Source organism: Homo sapiens, chromosome 12, assembly GCF_000001405.40.
Source record: "Homo sapiens chromosome 12, GRCh38.p14 Primary Assembly".
NCBI classification, from domain to species: Eukaryota; Metazoa; Chordata; class Mammalia; order Primates; family Hominidae; genus Homo; species Homo sapiens.
Window position 1 is genome coordinate 79,056,474 of NC_000012.12, and position 12,499 is coordinate 79,068,972.

Consider the following 12,499-nt stretch of genomic DNA (forward strand, 5'->3'; position numbering starts at 1 on the left):
TGGCCCTAGAAGTAGGCTGAATCAGTATGCATCACGATGTGAAGGGTAGCAAAAATGCTTTCTATCTTATCATGAAATTATTTTCTTTGTAATAACAAAGGGGACCACTTCCTCCAGAGAAAATAGACCTAACCAAACTCTAGACTGAACAGATGTCCAGAAATAAATTACATCCCACACATTGTTATTACATGCACCATTTTAAAGTTAAGGGCAGTATGATGCCATTACATGGCAACTCTCATTTTAAAAAATAATAAAATTTTGTATGTGATGTCTGAAATTGAAATCACAGCATTATTCTTTTACCAAAGAAATCTCAGTTGACAAAGTTGCTTATTTTGCTGCATTTTTCCCTCATGATACAGAATACTGTTTCTCCTCATTTTAAAACCTCAATTAATTATCTTCAAATGAAAATTTTCATATTCACCATTTTAAGTGGTTTTGTTGTTTGAGTCATTCTTTTGCAAACACCATAAAAATCCCTTTACAGTCTGACATGGGCTATCAATCCTAACACCACTTCTCCTTTCAATGTAAAATCTTGTTATGCCTCTAAAGATGAGTATATCCCAGTCTTAGTAATAACTATTCCTGTTTCAGCAGAAAGTAATTCATAATAAGTATCTTAGCATTTTCCTCCTTTCCTTGGAATTGAATCATTACAAATACTGACAATTTTATTTCTTTTCTATTCTGAAAGATGAAAAATCTGGTTCAGCATATGCTCCATTGTACATTTGAGCAATCTATATCCTCTGTTCTTATGGTTAATATGAATTGCTTAATCCTGTGATTGTTTTTGTTTTCCATTTTCAAAGGAATCCTGGCAAAGCCTATGTTCATGAATTTGTACAAAATGTTTCAGACTAAGGAAAATGTCTCTAAACAAAAGCTCAAAATACATTGGTTTCTAACTCATATGACCCCCCCCAAATGATATTATACAATTTTTCAATAGTCTGAAATATATTATAAGAAATAATTCTTAGCAGTAGTTTTGCAAGTTGCTCAGGATTTTTGCTTATCCATTTTATATTTGCATGTGGCATTGACACAATTTGCTATAACATCTCCTAGGAAGTAATATATTTTTTTTAGGCATTTACTATTTGAGCTGTGAAGGTTAGTCTTAGATGTTCTTTCTCTTTTGTACTTTAAAATTTTTTTTCTAATTTTGCACAAGGTAAAAATGTTTTTAATACCCTCTATGTCTTAGACTCACCATGCAGGGGTGTCCAAGGGAGAGAGTACAGTCATGGGTTCTTAGTTTCTGTTTCTGGTTGGGCCAGTAAAACCCCTTCCTCATCCCTCCTTCCTGCTTACAATTAGACACAGAAACCAAAAATTATGGCTTCAGGCTGCTAAAAGCCTGAAACAAAACAAAATAAAAACAACAACAACAAAATAAGGCAGGTTGGACAAGCTCATGAGCATTACATATGTCACAACCTTTATAATAAATACCATTTTATTACAGAATGCAACAAAATAATTATTTGAATTATGCCTAGTAACATAATTCCAGAAAGAAATGGGTTTGGACAATTGTATATTTATGGATATATCCATTGTTCCCATTTTAAGAAGTGAACAATTATTAGTGTGTTTTTTTGAAAGGCAAAGCCAGATTTGTCATTAAATGAGACAGCTAAAAGAATGGAAGCAATACAAGCAGTCCCCAACTTATGAATGAGTTATATAACAAAATTCCTTTTAAGATGTTTTCTTTCCATTTTATAAGATGGATATTTATCGACAGTGGCCACACAAAAAAACCTGTGAAAACCCACAGCTTATGCTAAATGACAATATTTTTAGCATTGGTTATGGTGACTGTGTGAGTGAGAGGGACACAAGGAAAAACATGTTTCTCCATTTTTCCTGATACTCAGTTGACCCTGCCCAATATGTGAAAAATAACTAAAGCCAGCTTTTCACACAGCCTTCTCTCTCTTTGTCACCTTTGTTTTCTTCCTGAGGTAATGCTGTTTCCCAACTGATATTCTCTAGCTGCCTTTTCTTTAAAGTGGTTTTGGTTTCCAATTTTCTAACCCAACTTATCTCTTGATCAAAATGACTCAGTACAGCTGGTATGGGGAAATGTCTAAGAAAAAATAATTGGGCCAAAGTGTCCACACCAGCCCTGCATCTTGCATCCCCTCTGCTTCTCACTTCCCGACCCCCACACCACAATTGTTAATTTAAATAAACAAATAACTTAAGGAATTTCTGGCAGTGTGGGGTCCTGGAGTGATACATGTATAGATAGTATGGGTGAAGATATTTGGAGACAGGAACTGGGATAGGTGGGAATTCAGCCTTAAATGCAGCATCCCCTGCACTGCTCTTGAAGTGATACATTTTCTTCAATACTATACTTAGGAGCCTATAGTTTCTTTATTTTAATACATACACATTTTCCCAGTGGGTCTTGCAAAGCTTGTGATAGAAGATTTGTTAATGAGGTATGTATTAGTCTGTTCTCACACTGCTAATAAAGACATACCCAAGACTGGGTAATTTATAAAGGAAAGAGGTTTAATTGACTCACAGTTCCACATAGCTGGGGAGGCCTCACAATCATGCCAGAAGGTGAATGGGGGTCAAAGGCACATCTTACATGGCAGCAGGCAAGGGAGCACGTGCAGAGGAACTCCTTTTTATAAAACCATCAGATCTCATGAGACTTATTCACTGTCACGAGAACAGCATGGGAAAGACGCCCCCATAATTCAATGACCTCCCATTGGGTCTCTCCCACAACAGGTGGGAATTATGGGAGCTACAATTCAAGATGAAATTTGGGTGGGGACACAACCAAACCATATCAAGATGTAATAAGCTAGAGATAACTGCTTCATTTTTTCTAAAATGTAAAAGTAAATGTAAAATACATGATTATATAATATTGTTTACCTATATTTTAATTTTAATTCTTTTCAATACCTCAAATGTAAAACCATCCACTCATAAAGTAAATTTTAAGAGTTACCTCTATATGAAAGAAATCGTTATTTGTGTTAGTTATAACATTCCTTATACCTGGCCACCCAAAACAAGAAAATAATCAAGTTTTCAATTTTCAATTTTTTTATCATAACTCTGGATATAAATATAACTAAAATGTTTTCAGTAATAACTCCATGCACAATGATCAAACAAATGCTGTACTTGTTGTGGGCTGGCATCAACAATTATGAAAGTGGCTTGGTAAGGCCAGGCCAGACCTTTGTAACCAGTTATACCAGGCTACTGTTAGACAGCCCCAGATAGCCCATCCCTCTGCCTCAGGGCTTATGGAAACAGTGGATGTTGGTAACTGAACACTTACTCCCTGCTGCATGCTTCCCATGTCATTTCATTCCTGTGAAGTGCATTTTCATATCTATATTTCATAAATGAGGAGACAGATTCTGAAAGGCAAACCAACTTGCTCAAAATAACTAGCTTATATATTTTGAGCCAGATGCAGACTAAAGTCTGTGTAATGCTAAAACCTGTGCTCCTAGACATTATGCAAACTGTTTCATGGGCTTACACTGAAATAATATCTGATGAATTTCTCTTTGCATAAGAGAGTGAGCTCCACAAGTGTGGTAGGCAGAGCATCCTCCTATCTCAGAACCTGACACAGCGAAGGTGCTCAATGCTGGTTGAACCAAAGTGACAACTTGTTTATCCAGCTCTATCATAGCAGTAACTTTACTAAAAGTTCTCTGTTCCCTTACTTTTTTTCAGAAAAGTTATCCACGTCCCCAAACAAAACCTACGTCCCTGTAACAAAAAGCTTTTATTTTCAAGAGCTGTATCTTTAGCCATTTTTTTAATTGTGGTAAAATATATATAACATCAAATTTACCATTTTAACCATTTGAAAGTATACAGCTCAGTGGTATTAAGTACATTCACACTGTTGTTTGATCATCAGCATCAGCCACCCTCAGAATTTTTTCATCTTCCCAAAGTGAAACTCCGTACATATTAAACAGCAACTCCCCATTCCCCCTCCCTGCAGCCCCTGGCCATCACTATTTTACCTTCAGTCTTGATGAAACTGACTATTCTAACTACGTCATATAAGTGGAATTAAACAGTATTTTTCCTTTTGTAACTAGGTTATTTTGTATATTGTCAAGGTTTATCCTTATTGTAGCATGTGTCAAAATTTTCTTCCTAAGGCTGAATAATATTCCATTGTATGTATATATCACATTTTGTTTATCCATTTATCTGATGATTTATTGAGTAATGGAGTTGTCCAAAATGAAATCTTTTTGCCAATTCTTTGATGGAAAGATAAGATGCAAATATAGAAATGCAATGAGTTCATGATTTTTAGAACATCTCTCTTTTTATATCATAAGCCCTAAAATTAATCATGGAAAACTAGTTCAGTTTAGGCAATCAGCAAAAAAAAATAGATGGGCTTAAGATAATTTAGGATTTATGAGTTATAAATATGCCACATTTTAACTACTCAGGCTGGAATTAGCCTGTCTTCATTTGATTATCTGTTTTGATACATTGACTGTTCTTCAGAAGATTCGTGAAGTTAGGGTATTTAAAAATTGCCATTTCTCTAAAATTAAATAGAATAATAGGGAAGGGAGCATTGATTCTAAATAAGAATGCAAATTTATAGCCATCAAGTTTTCTACTACTACCATTTAACTTCTAATCAGCGTATTATGGAATATTCTTGTTCAAGAATTGGTGTCTGAACCTTAAGTCAATAAGAAGGAAATAATCTATACAGTTTTTAGTATTTTCAGCAGTTTTCCTTATGTGCTAACCAATAATTTTTTAGCTGGCATTTATCAATGCCAGAGACACGCTCATATACACATATTATATATCCTATAATACACAGCATTATCCTCTAATCCTCACACTGAAAAGTAGACATCATCACCATTTTACAAATGAGGAAGGAGAGGATCAGAAAGGTTAAGTGACTTTCTCAGTTAATAACTGGCAGAGTTGGCATTTGAGAACAGGACTTCTAGATACAAGGCTGCTGCTCTGTCACCTCACACTTCCCCTACATGTTGTGAATGGTGCTGGGCCACAAAAATGAATGGGACAGTCTCCACCCTGGAAAAATTTATATTATACTGGAATGGATGGGCATTTTTAACTAATTAAAATATAATAGTATGAAGATTAGAAGTTCTTTGGATGCCAGCAGGTAGACATAGCTTAACAGTGCCTGAAAAGCTTTGCAAAGGAAAGGGCATTCCATCTTGGCCTTACATGACTTCCTTCCATGCTGGTTTTCCATTTTAATTAGTAAAGAATTTAGTTAAGCACATGGGATGATTGGTTAAAGTTGAAGCTGTAATGAGATCATGAAGGTTAAATTAAAGTGTTTGAAGTTTATCTCTTAGCAGTGGAAAACAAATGTTTTTATGTTTTCATTCTTGCTACTTTTTTCTGCTTAATCTACCATTCTGTAGAAGCCTTAGTAATAGAACAAGCGAAGGAGAAGAAAAAGATAATTTTTTTAAAAAAGAATCCTTTTATGAGCTTATGCTAGCTTATTTTAATGTTCTTGCATTATAGGCATGATTAAAGATTTTAAGTGTATGACTTTGCATTTTGATCAGAGTTATCATCTCCCTCAAGGCTGCTCAATAACATGATCCATAATGACATTTTGTTGTTATTTTCTGACCTGTTGGGTGAGGCACTAAAGCCAGCTTCCCTAGGTCTATGTAGCTTTAAGTTATTGCAGTGAGGAAATTTCACAGTGCTGTCATGCTTTTGGTTAATACAGTTTTGTGTTTTGCTTGGGAAAGACAATTCTGAGAGTGTCCTATTGATTCAGATGTTTTCTGACAGTAGCTGCCTACCAGGTTTGCCTTCATTGACTTTTCAATGTTCTGTTACAAATAACTTGCATGTACAATTTGATATTGAAAAGCCTAGAAGGTTCCCCACTGTGCATGAAGTTAGAGCAGCCCTGAGCCATGGGGTGGTGAGTGCTTATTATCATTCTGAAAATCATCCACTTGTCCTAGGCTGTTGCCATAAAAGGGTTGTGTTTTCTCTGTTATTCTTTTTTGTTCTCCTGCTTCTTTTATTCTTTCAGACATTCCAATGCACTTCTTATTCTTTAAAAGTTTAAACTTCATTCTTAAAAATTCCCCATGGTGACTGAAACTTGAAATATAAAGTCACAGGTGTTTTCTGATATTTTTGAACACACGGAATGTGAGATGGCTTGGATTGGAAGTACTTATTTTGTTAGTACAATTTAAAAGAATCACTTCTGTGAGATTTTCCTAAAATGATGAATGGTTAGAAATGTTCTTTTATAATCATAATAAAAATAACTACCATTTATCGAATGCCTACCATCTGCCAAGATCTGTGCTTAGCAACTTTCATGCTATCTATAATATTGACAACTCTGTAAGGTAGGTATCATTAAACCATTTACAGATAAAGAAACAAAGACTCTGAGAAGTTAAGTGACTTGTCCAAGACAAGAATGATTACTTCTATCTTTCTAATTGTGGTTGACTTCTACTTATTAAAAATGATGGTAATATCATTTGGGTTTGCAGAGCACGTCACGGTTTACATAGCAGTTTCACATATGCCACCTCCTTTAACCTCACAAAACTGATAACTATATTTTGCATTTCACCTTAATCTTTGTGAGACCATCTTGAGGCTTTAGATCAGAAATGGGGTATGAATTTCCTTGTGCTGAAATATGACCCTTTGTTAAGTTAGCATCATTTGCAAAAATGTCTTCTTTTCTACCATTACTAGTTTATGCTTCTATTTTATCAGGGGAGAAGGCAGCTGGAGAACTTGTCTGTTGATGCCCTTGAAGAGTTTGTGGGATTATGTTTACCCAGAAAATAGTTGCCTGTAGCAAAAGCATAATAATGTTTTTGAGACCCAGCTGCTCTGCCCCTGAAAACTATGTAGGAAATACTTACATAGCTGCTATTTCCTGCTCTCTCCTCCCAGGATCCCAGCCCGTGGCATCTCTGCCTTTCAAAGACATTCCACTGTGCAGTCTGTCCCTATGTCTGCTTGTAAACCAAAGCATAATGTTCATTTACACATAAGTGGAGGAGGGGGAAGGAGAACCTTATAGAATTACAAATAAGATAATATTATAATGGGTAATAAGTACATTTCTGCCTTATCACCAGTATTTCCAAAACCCAATGGCATCAAATTCTCTGAAATAATTTAGGGCTCTGAAATGGGAATTGGGTAAAGAAAATAAGTAAAAAAGTTGTTGGATTCAATAGGGAAAAATAATAAAACAAATACAGTAACAGGTACACTACCCTCCTCTATCCCCCTTGGGAACACCAAAGCAAACCCACTCACCCTTCCAAAAAGTATCATTTCTTTCAAATATCAGAGCTTTGACCCAGGAGTCTGACCTCACTTTTCCTGACCTAACTCCTCCTAGGCGAGATTGGTTTCTCCCTCTCTTCTGTATTCTCAAAGCACCTAGGACATGCCTCTGCTTCAGTATCCATCTTCTCTACTGGACATGAGCAAAATGAGCCCCCTCCTTATCCCTACCATTCCGGAGAACAGTCCATCACTTGGAGCATAAAGCTTAGTGCACAAGTAGATGAATCTATTCAGCCATGCAACAGTACCAGACCTTCTGTTAGTGCTGTGTGCTACACTCAGAGAATGTTTAAAGAAATGAGGAATGAAGAAAGGGAGTGAAGAAGACAGGGAATGTAGGAATGAGAGAGACAGGGAAGAAAAGACTGAAGGAGAAAGGAAAGAGGGAGTAAGGAAGGAAGGAAAGAAGAAAGCCTGGCCCAAGATGTGAATAAGAGTGTAATGATTTCACTTATCACATAGTATTTCACATAATATCTATTGTTTACTTTCAGCAAAGAAATTTATTTTGAGAATATGAATATTTCAGAGGAATAATTCACAGTGGAGATGGGGTAGATAGTTTTGTAGAAGACTAGAAATCAGTTTCTAAATGTTTCTCTTTCCACTAATTTCAAAGTCTATTTTTCTTATTACTAAAATATTTCCACTTTTATATATGTGAAGATAAAACTTTTGCTTACTCCTTAGCTAATGAATTTTATAAACAAACTCTTTTATATGTTTTTATAATATAATATGTGAAATGAGAAGACTAAGGGATTTTACCTACCACCTACATATTACCATATTAAGATATTCCTGAATAAAGTAAACCCCACCATAAATGTGTGTGTGTTGGGGGGTATGATTTTTCTTTTTGGTCTATGAAACAGATTATGCTAATTTACACCAGCACTTCCAATAACAACTAACTATTCTGCACCCCAAACACACACACACACACATACACACACAACACACCCCATCTACTCTTCTCTCTCCTGCTCCAGTACTCTGTAGCATTAGTTTAGTTTCTCTTATTCCCTCAGCCCCACTCTTTAGACAAAAAAATAGAGAGAAAGAAAGAAAGAAAGAAAGAAAGAAAGAAAGAAAGAAAGAAAGAAAGAAAGAAAGAAAGAAAGAAAGAAAAGGAAACCTTTCCTTCTCATTTCTAGGGCTCTAAGGGTTTGCACGCTGCCACTCTACCATTCTTCACACATTCCAATTAGAAACTTAAGGGAGGCCAGCGTAGTGGCTTGTGCCTGTGATCCCAGCACTTTGGGAGGCTGAGGTGGGTGAATCGCTTCAGCCCAGGAGTTTGAGATCAGCCTGGGCAACATGGTGAAAACCCGTCTTCACAAAAATAAAAACAAACAACAACAAAAATAGCCGGCATTATAGCACACACCTGTAGTCCCAGATACTAGGGAAGCTGAAGTGGGAGGGTCGCTTGAGTCCGGGAGGTGAAGGATATAGGCTGCAGTGAGCCTTTAGTGTGCCACTGCATTCCAGCCTGGGCGACTGAGCGAGACTCTGTCCCAAAAGAGAGGAGTGGAGGGGAGGGGAGGAGAGGGGCACAAAGGTGCCATGCATATCAGAGGATGCTTTCTTGTCTGCTTATCTCAAATCTGGCCATACATTTGAATATCAAATAAAGCTGATATTCTCATTTTCTTCCTCTCTACTGAAAAATAATCTATCCCAGTAACAACAGTTAGCAGTCACTGCAGGCAAGATGATAAAGAGGAAAATAAAAAAATCTTGAGGAAAAAAAAAGTCAAGGATGATTTTGAATATTTATTATATTATCTTGAAACCCATCATAATCACTTCACAAATTCTTAATGAAATCTGACCAAAATGTGCTCCCACTATTTGTTGAGATCTATAGGAAAGTCAAAATGATACAATTTCTCATTTTATCATTATTTTTTGTGCACTTATGCGCACAGAAGATACTGTGTGAATTGGTTTGAAGTTTTCCTTCTTTTCACTATCTTATAGCTTAATTGGTAATGAGCAGCAAATTTTAAAAGATTAAAAATTACGGGGGGGAAGGGAAGAGGAAAGTTAGTGCCCTAGATAGAGTGAAAAAAATTACAAAAGAACAAAGTAATTATTCACAAGATGGGAAAAAGATATAAATGAATTGAATTATGAGTCAGACAGAAAAGACCACACACATATATACCCACATGCATGAACATACACAAACACAAATACACATGCACACACAAAAAGACATGCACACACAGTCTACACTACACACATATCATCCACCCACACAAATGCAGAGACCACACATTTGACACATGCTCACAAACACACTTATCCAAACATGGCAAAATTATGCTCCCAATTTAATTAGCAAAGAATACATTTTACCAGAAGCAGGGTAAACACCACATAGGATAGTAGCATATATCAGAGTAGCTTCCCTTGATCCCCAGAGTCCTTGTGGGGGCTCACAGCTGCCTATGAACTGGACATATAAGCAAACCTATAAACCTGAATTCTTTCTGCAACACCGAACTTTTATAAGCCAGAGGTACAGGATGACTTCAGAAAATCTTAAACTTACAATTTTTATGCCTCTGATTAACATTAAGCATCACATCTCTTGGTTTGAAAAAAAAAATTAAAAAAAAAAACAACTCAGTGACATGGAGGCCATATCATCATCTGGGGAGAGAGAGCAGAGTCAGTGAGCAGAAGCTATGAGCAAAATGGCATTACCTTGCAGTAAATATTGTGAATTATACTTAATCTAATATTCAATTTACAAATGGGGATAATTAATAATTAGTGCCTAATTAGAAATAAATGAAATAATATTGGTAACATAGCTAATACAATGCCTGGCACATCAAAGATGCTTAAAAAAACAGAAATGGGGAAAGGTGAGACAGATTTTCACTTCCTTGTTATAACTGATGATTATCCAGTTGCTTTTGGTCTAGTTGGTTCCCCTTGCATAATCCATTAGCTTAAACTAATTGCATTTTCCAACTTGATCTCCATTTAGTGTCCTAACATGTATTAATATGGGCTACTGAATCTGCATTCATATGTCTCTGAGACCTGAATAAAACCTTAAAATTTTCAGGGATAGGTTGGAAATACACATTACATGAATGTTACTATACATTGCCTTGATGCAGTGTTACTATAATTGCCTCCACGCAGTGTGCTTTGGGATCATAGATCAAAATGATGGGAAAACCTTCCTGCCACAACAAGCCAGTTGGCTTGTCCCACTGTGAGATTCTCCCCCAGCTTACAAAATAGACATGCTTTTTCAAAAGTGTTTCTTTTAATTTGTTGAAATGTCAAGAAGAGCCTAATGTTATAGATTTTGGTGAAAGGTAGTTTTCCCTTATCAAAATCATATAGCTCATACCTATCTATTTTTTTCAAATGTCCATTGTACAAAAATACAGTCTTTATGGGTATTTAACTCCTACAGTTGACTTTAAGTTCTGCTCTCTATATTGAGCAGAAAAATAGTCATGGAACTGTGGAATTGGAATTTGAAGGTATGTATATCAATGCCATTTAAATATTAAAAGTAGTAGGAAACTATATCTATATAAATATAGTCATTTTCTAGAGTCAGTTAGTTTCAAGAGGCTTTTCTTTTTTTAACATTTAAGATGCTTTACTTGGAGTTCCTTAGAGAAAAATTTCTTCAAATGCTAAGATAATATAAAAACCATAGCTTTCCAAAAACTTTTACATTAACTTTGAAACAAGTAACTAATGCAAGTGAGGCCAAGCAATTAGTTTGTAAGGAGACCTTGTAATGCAGAGGTGTAGGGGATTCCAGGTAAAACATCAATACCAACTGTACTTTTTTGCTGTGTGGTGTAGAAAGGCAGATGAGAGAAGTCGGGATATGGACACAGGTCCTGGACTTTAAAGATTCACTTAAATTTCCCCACTTCTTTATCCTGGCATACATCCTCCCCTAGGATCAAGCTGCCATGGGCTAGAAATAAAGACTCAGAATATATTTGTTCAAGACCAACAGATCAAGTAGAAATTGTTGTAGAACATATATGTGCTGCTGCGTTTCAGGGTTGAATATAATCATTTGGCAATATCACCTCTACATTTTTATTTCCACGAAGACACACCCATGAGACAAGCCTTAAAGAAGGTGACAGCAATAGATATTATTTCCAGAGCTCCTACCATGCTTTGGATTACAATCTTATCAATTTGGGTTGAAGTTGCAAAAAATTCAGGCCAAAAATGAACTTTGAGTAGTTTATGAAACCCAAACACACTTGTCAAACCTAACCATGCAAAACAGCACAAATTAAGTCAACTTTCAATCTGGTTTTGTGCCAAATGGAATGAAGCCTCTGGTGGGCTAGACAGCTCTATTTCCTGCTTTCAATTTTGGAGATTCCAATTAGTAAATTAAACTTTAAAAAGCTGTCTAAAATAATTAATTAGGTCATAATTATTCAGAAGCATATTTTATAGTGTACTCTAATCTAGTGTCTAGTCTAAATACTTGAAAACGGTATCAATTTCATTATTAAAGAATTAATTATAATTGGGCCTAATCCTTTGCTGATGAACGTTGAAAAAATACTCTGGGGATAAACTGTTCACATATGCGAAGTGGATAAATTCTTTCAGAGCTCAAGAATAATAGTTATGCTCTGGAAGTGTTTTCTGCTTATATTAATTCCTTTGTTAAAATTCTTACAGATATCACCCAACAAATAAAAGTTTCATAGGAAAAAGAGCCCTCTGTTTAAATGAGTTTATCACATATGGACAACTGATTTTCCTCCTACTCTATTCCAAACATTTTCCATAATCAGTACATTGGTACAGAAAAGAGAAAAGAAACAGGGAGAAGTAACCTGCCGGGCATGGTAGCTCATGCCTGTAATCCCAGCACTTTGGGAGGCCGAGCCAGGAGAATTGTTTGAACTCAGGAGTTCATGAGCAGCCTGGACAACATCATGAGATCCATGTGGGAAAAATTTTGATATTTCTTTAACTTCCTTCTCATTTCTTCCTAATGTCCTTTTATGATCTAGCAAATCAAATTTAAAAACTCAACATATCATAAATAATGATACCAGAGATCAGTATAGCTTAC

General features: G+C 35.8%; 1 protein-coding gene and 1 long non-coding RNA gene across 18 annotated transcripts in view; one reads left to right on the forward strand and one right to left on the reverse strand.

Annotated features, from left to right (window-relative positions):
- The window catches only part of SYT1 (synaptotagmin 1), a 588,027-nt gene that overhangs the window by 192,492 nt on the left and 383,036 nt on the right, over nt 1-12,499 (forward strand). The window lies entirely within an intron of this gene.
- Nucleotides 1-12,499, reverse strand: part of LOC105369863 (uncharacterized) — a 197,856-nt gene that overhangs the window by 151,450 nt on the left and 33,907 nt on the right. The window lies entirely within an intron of this gene.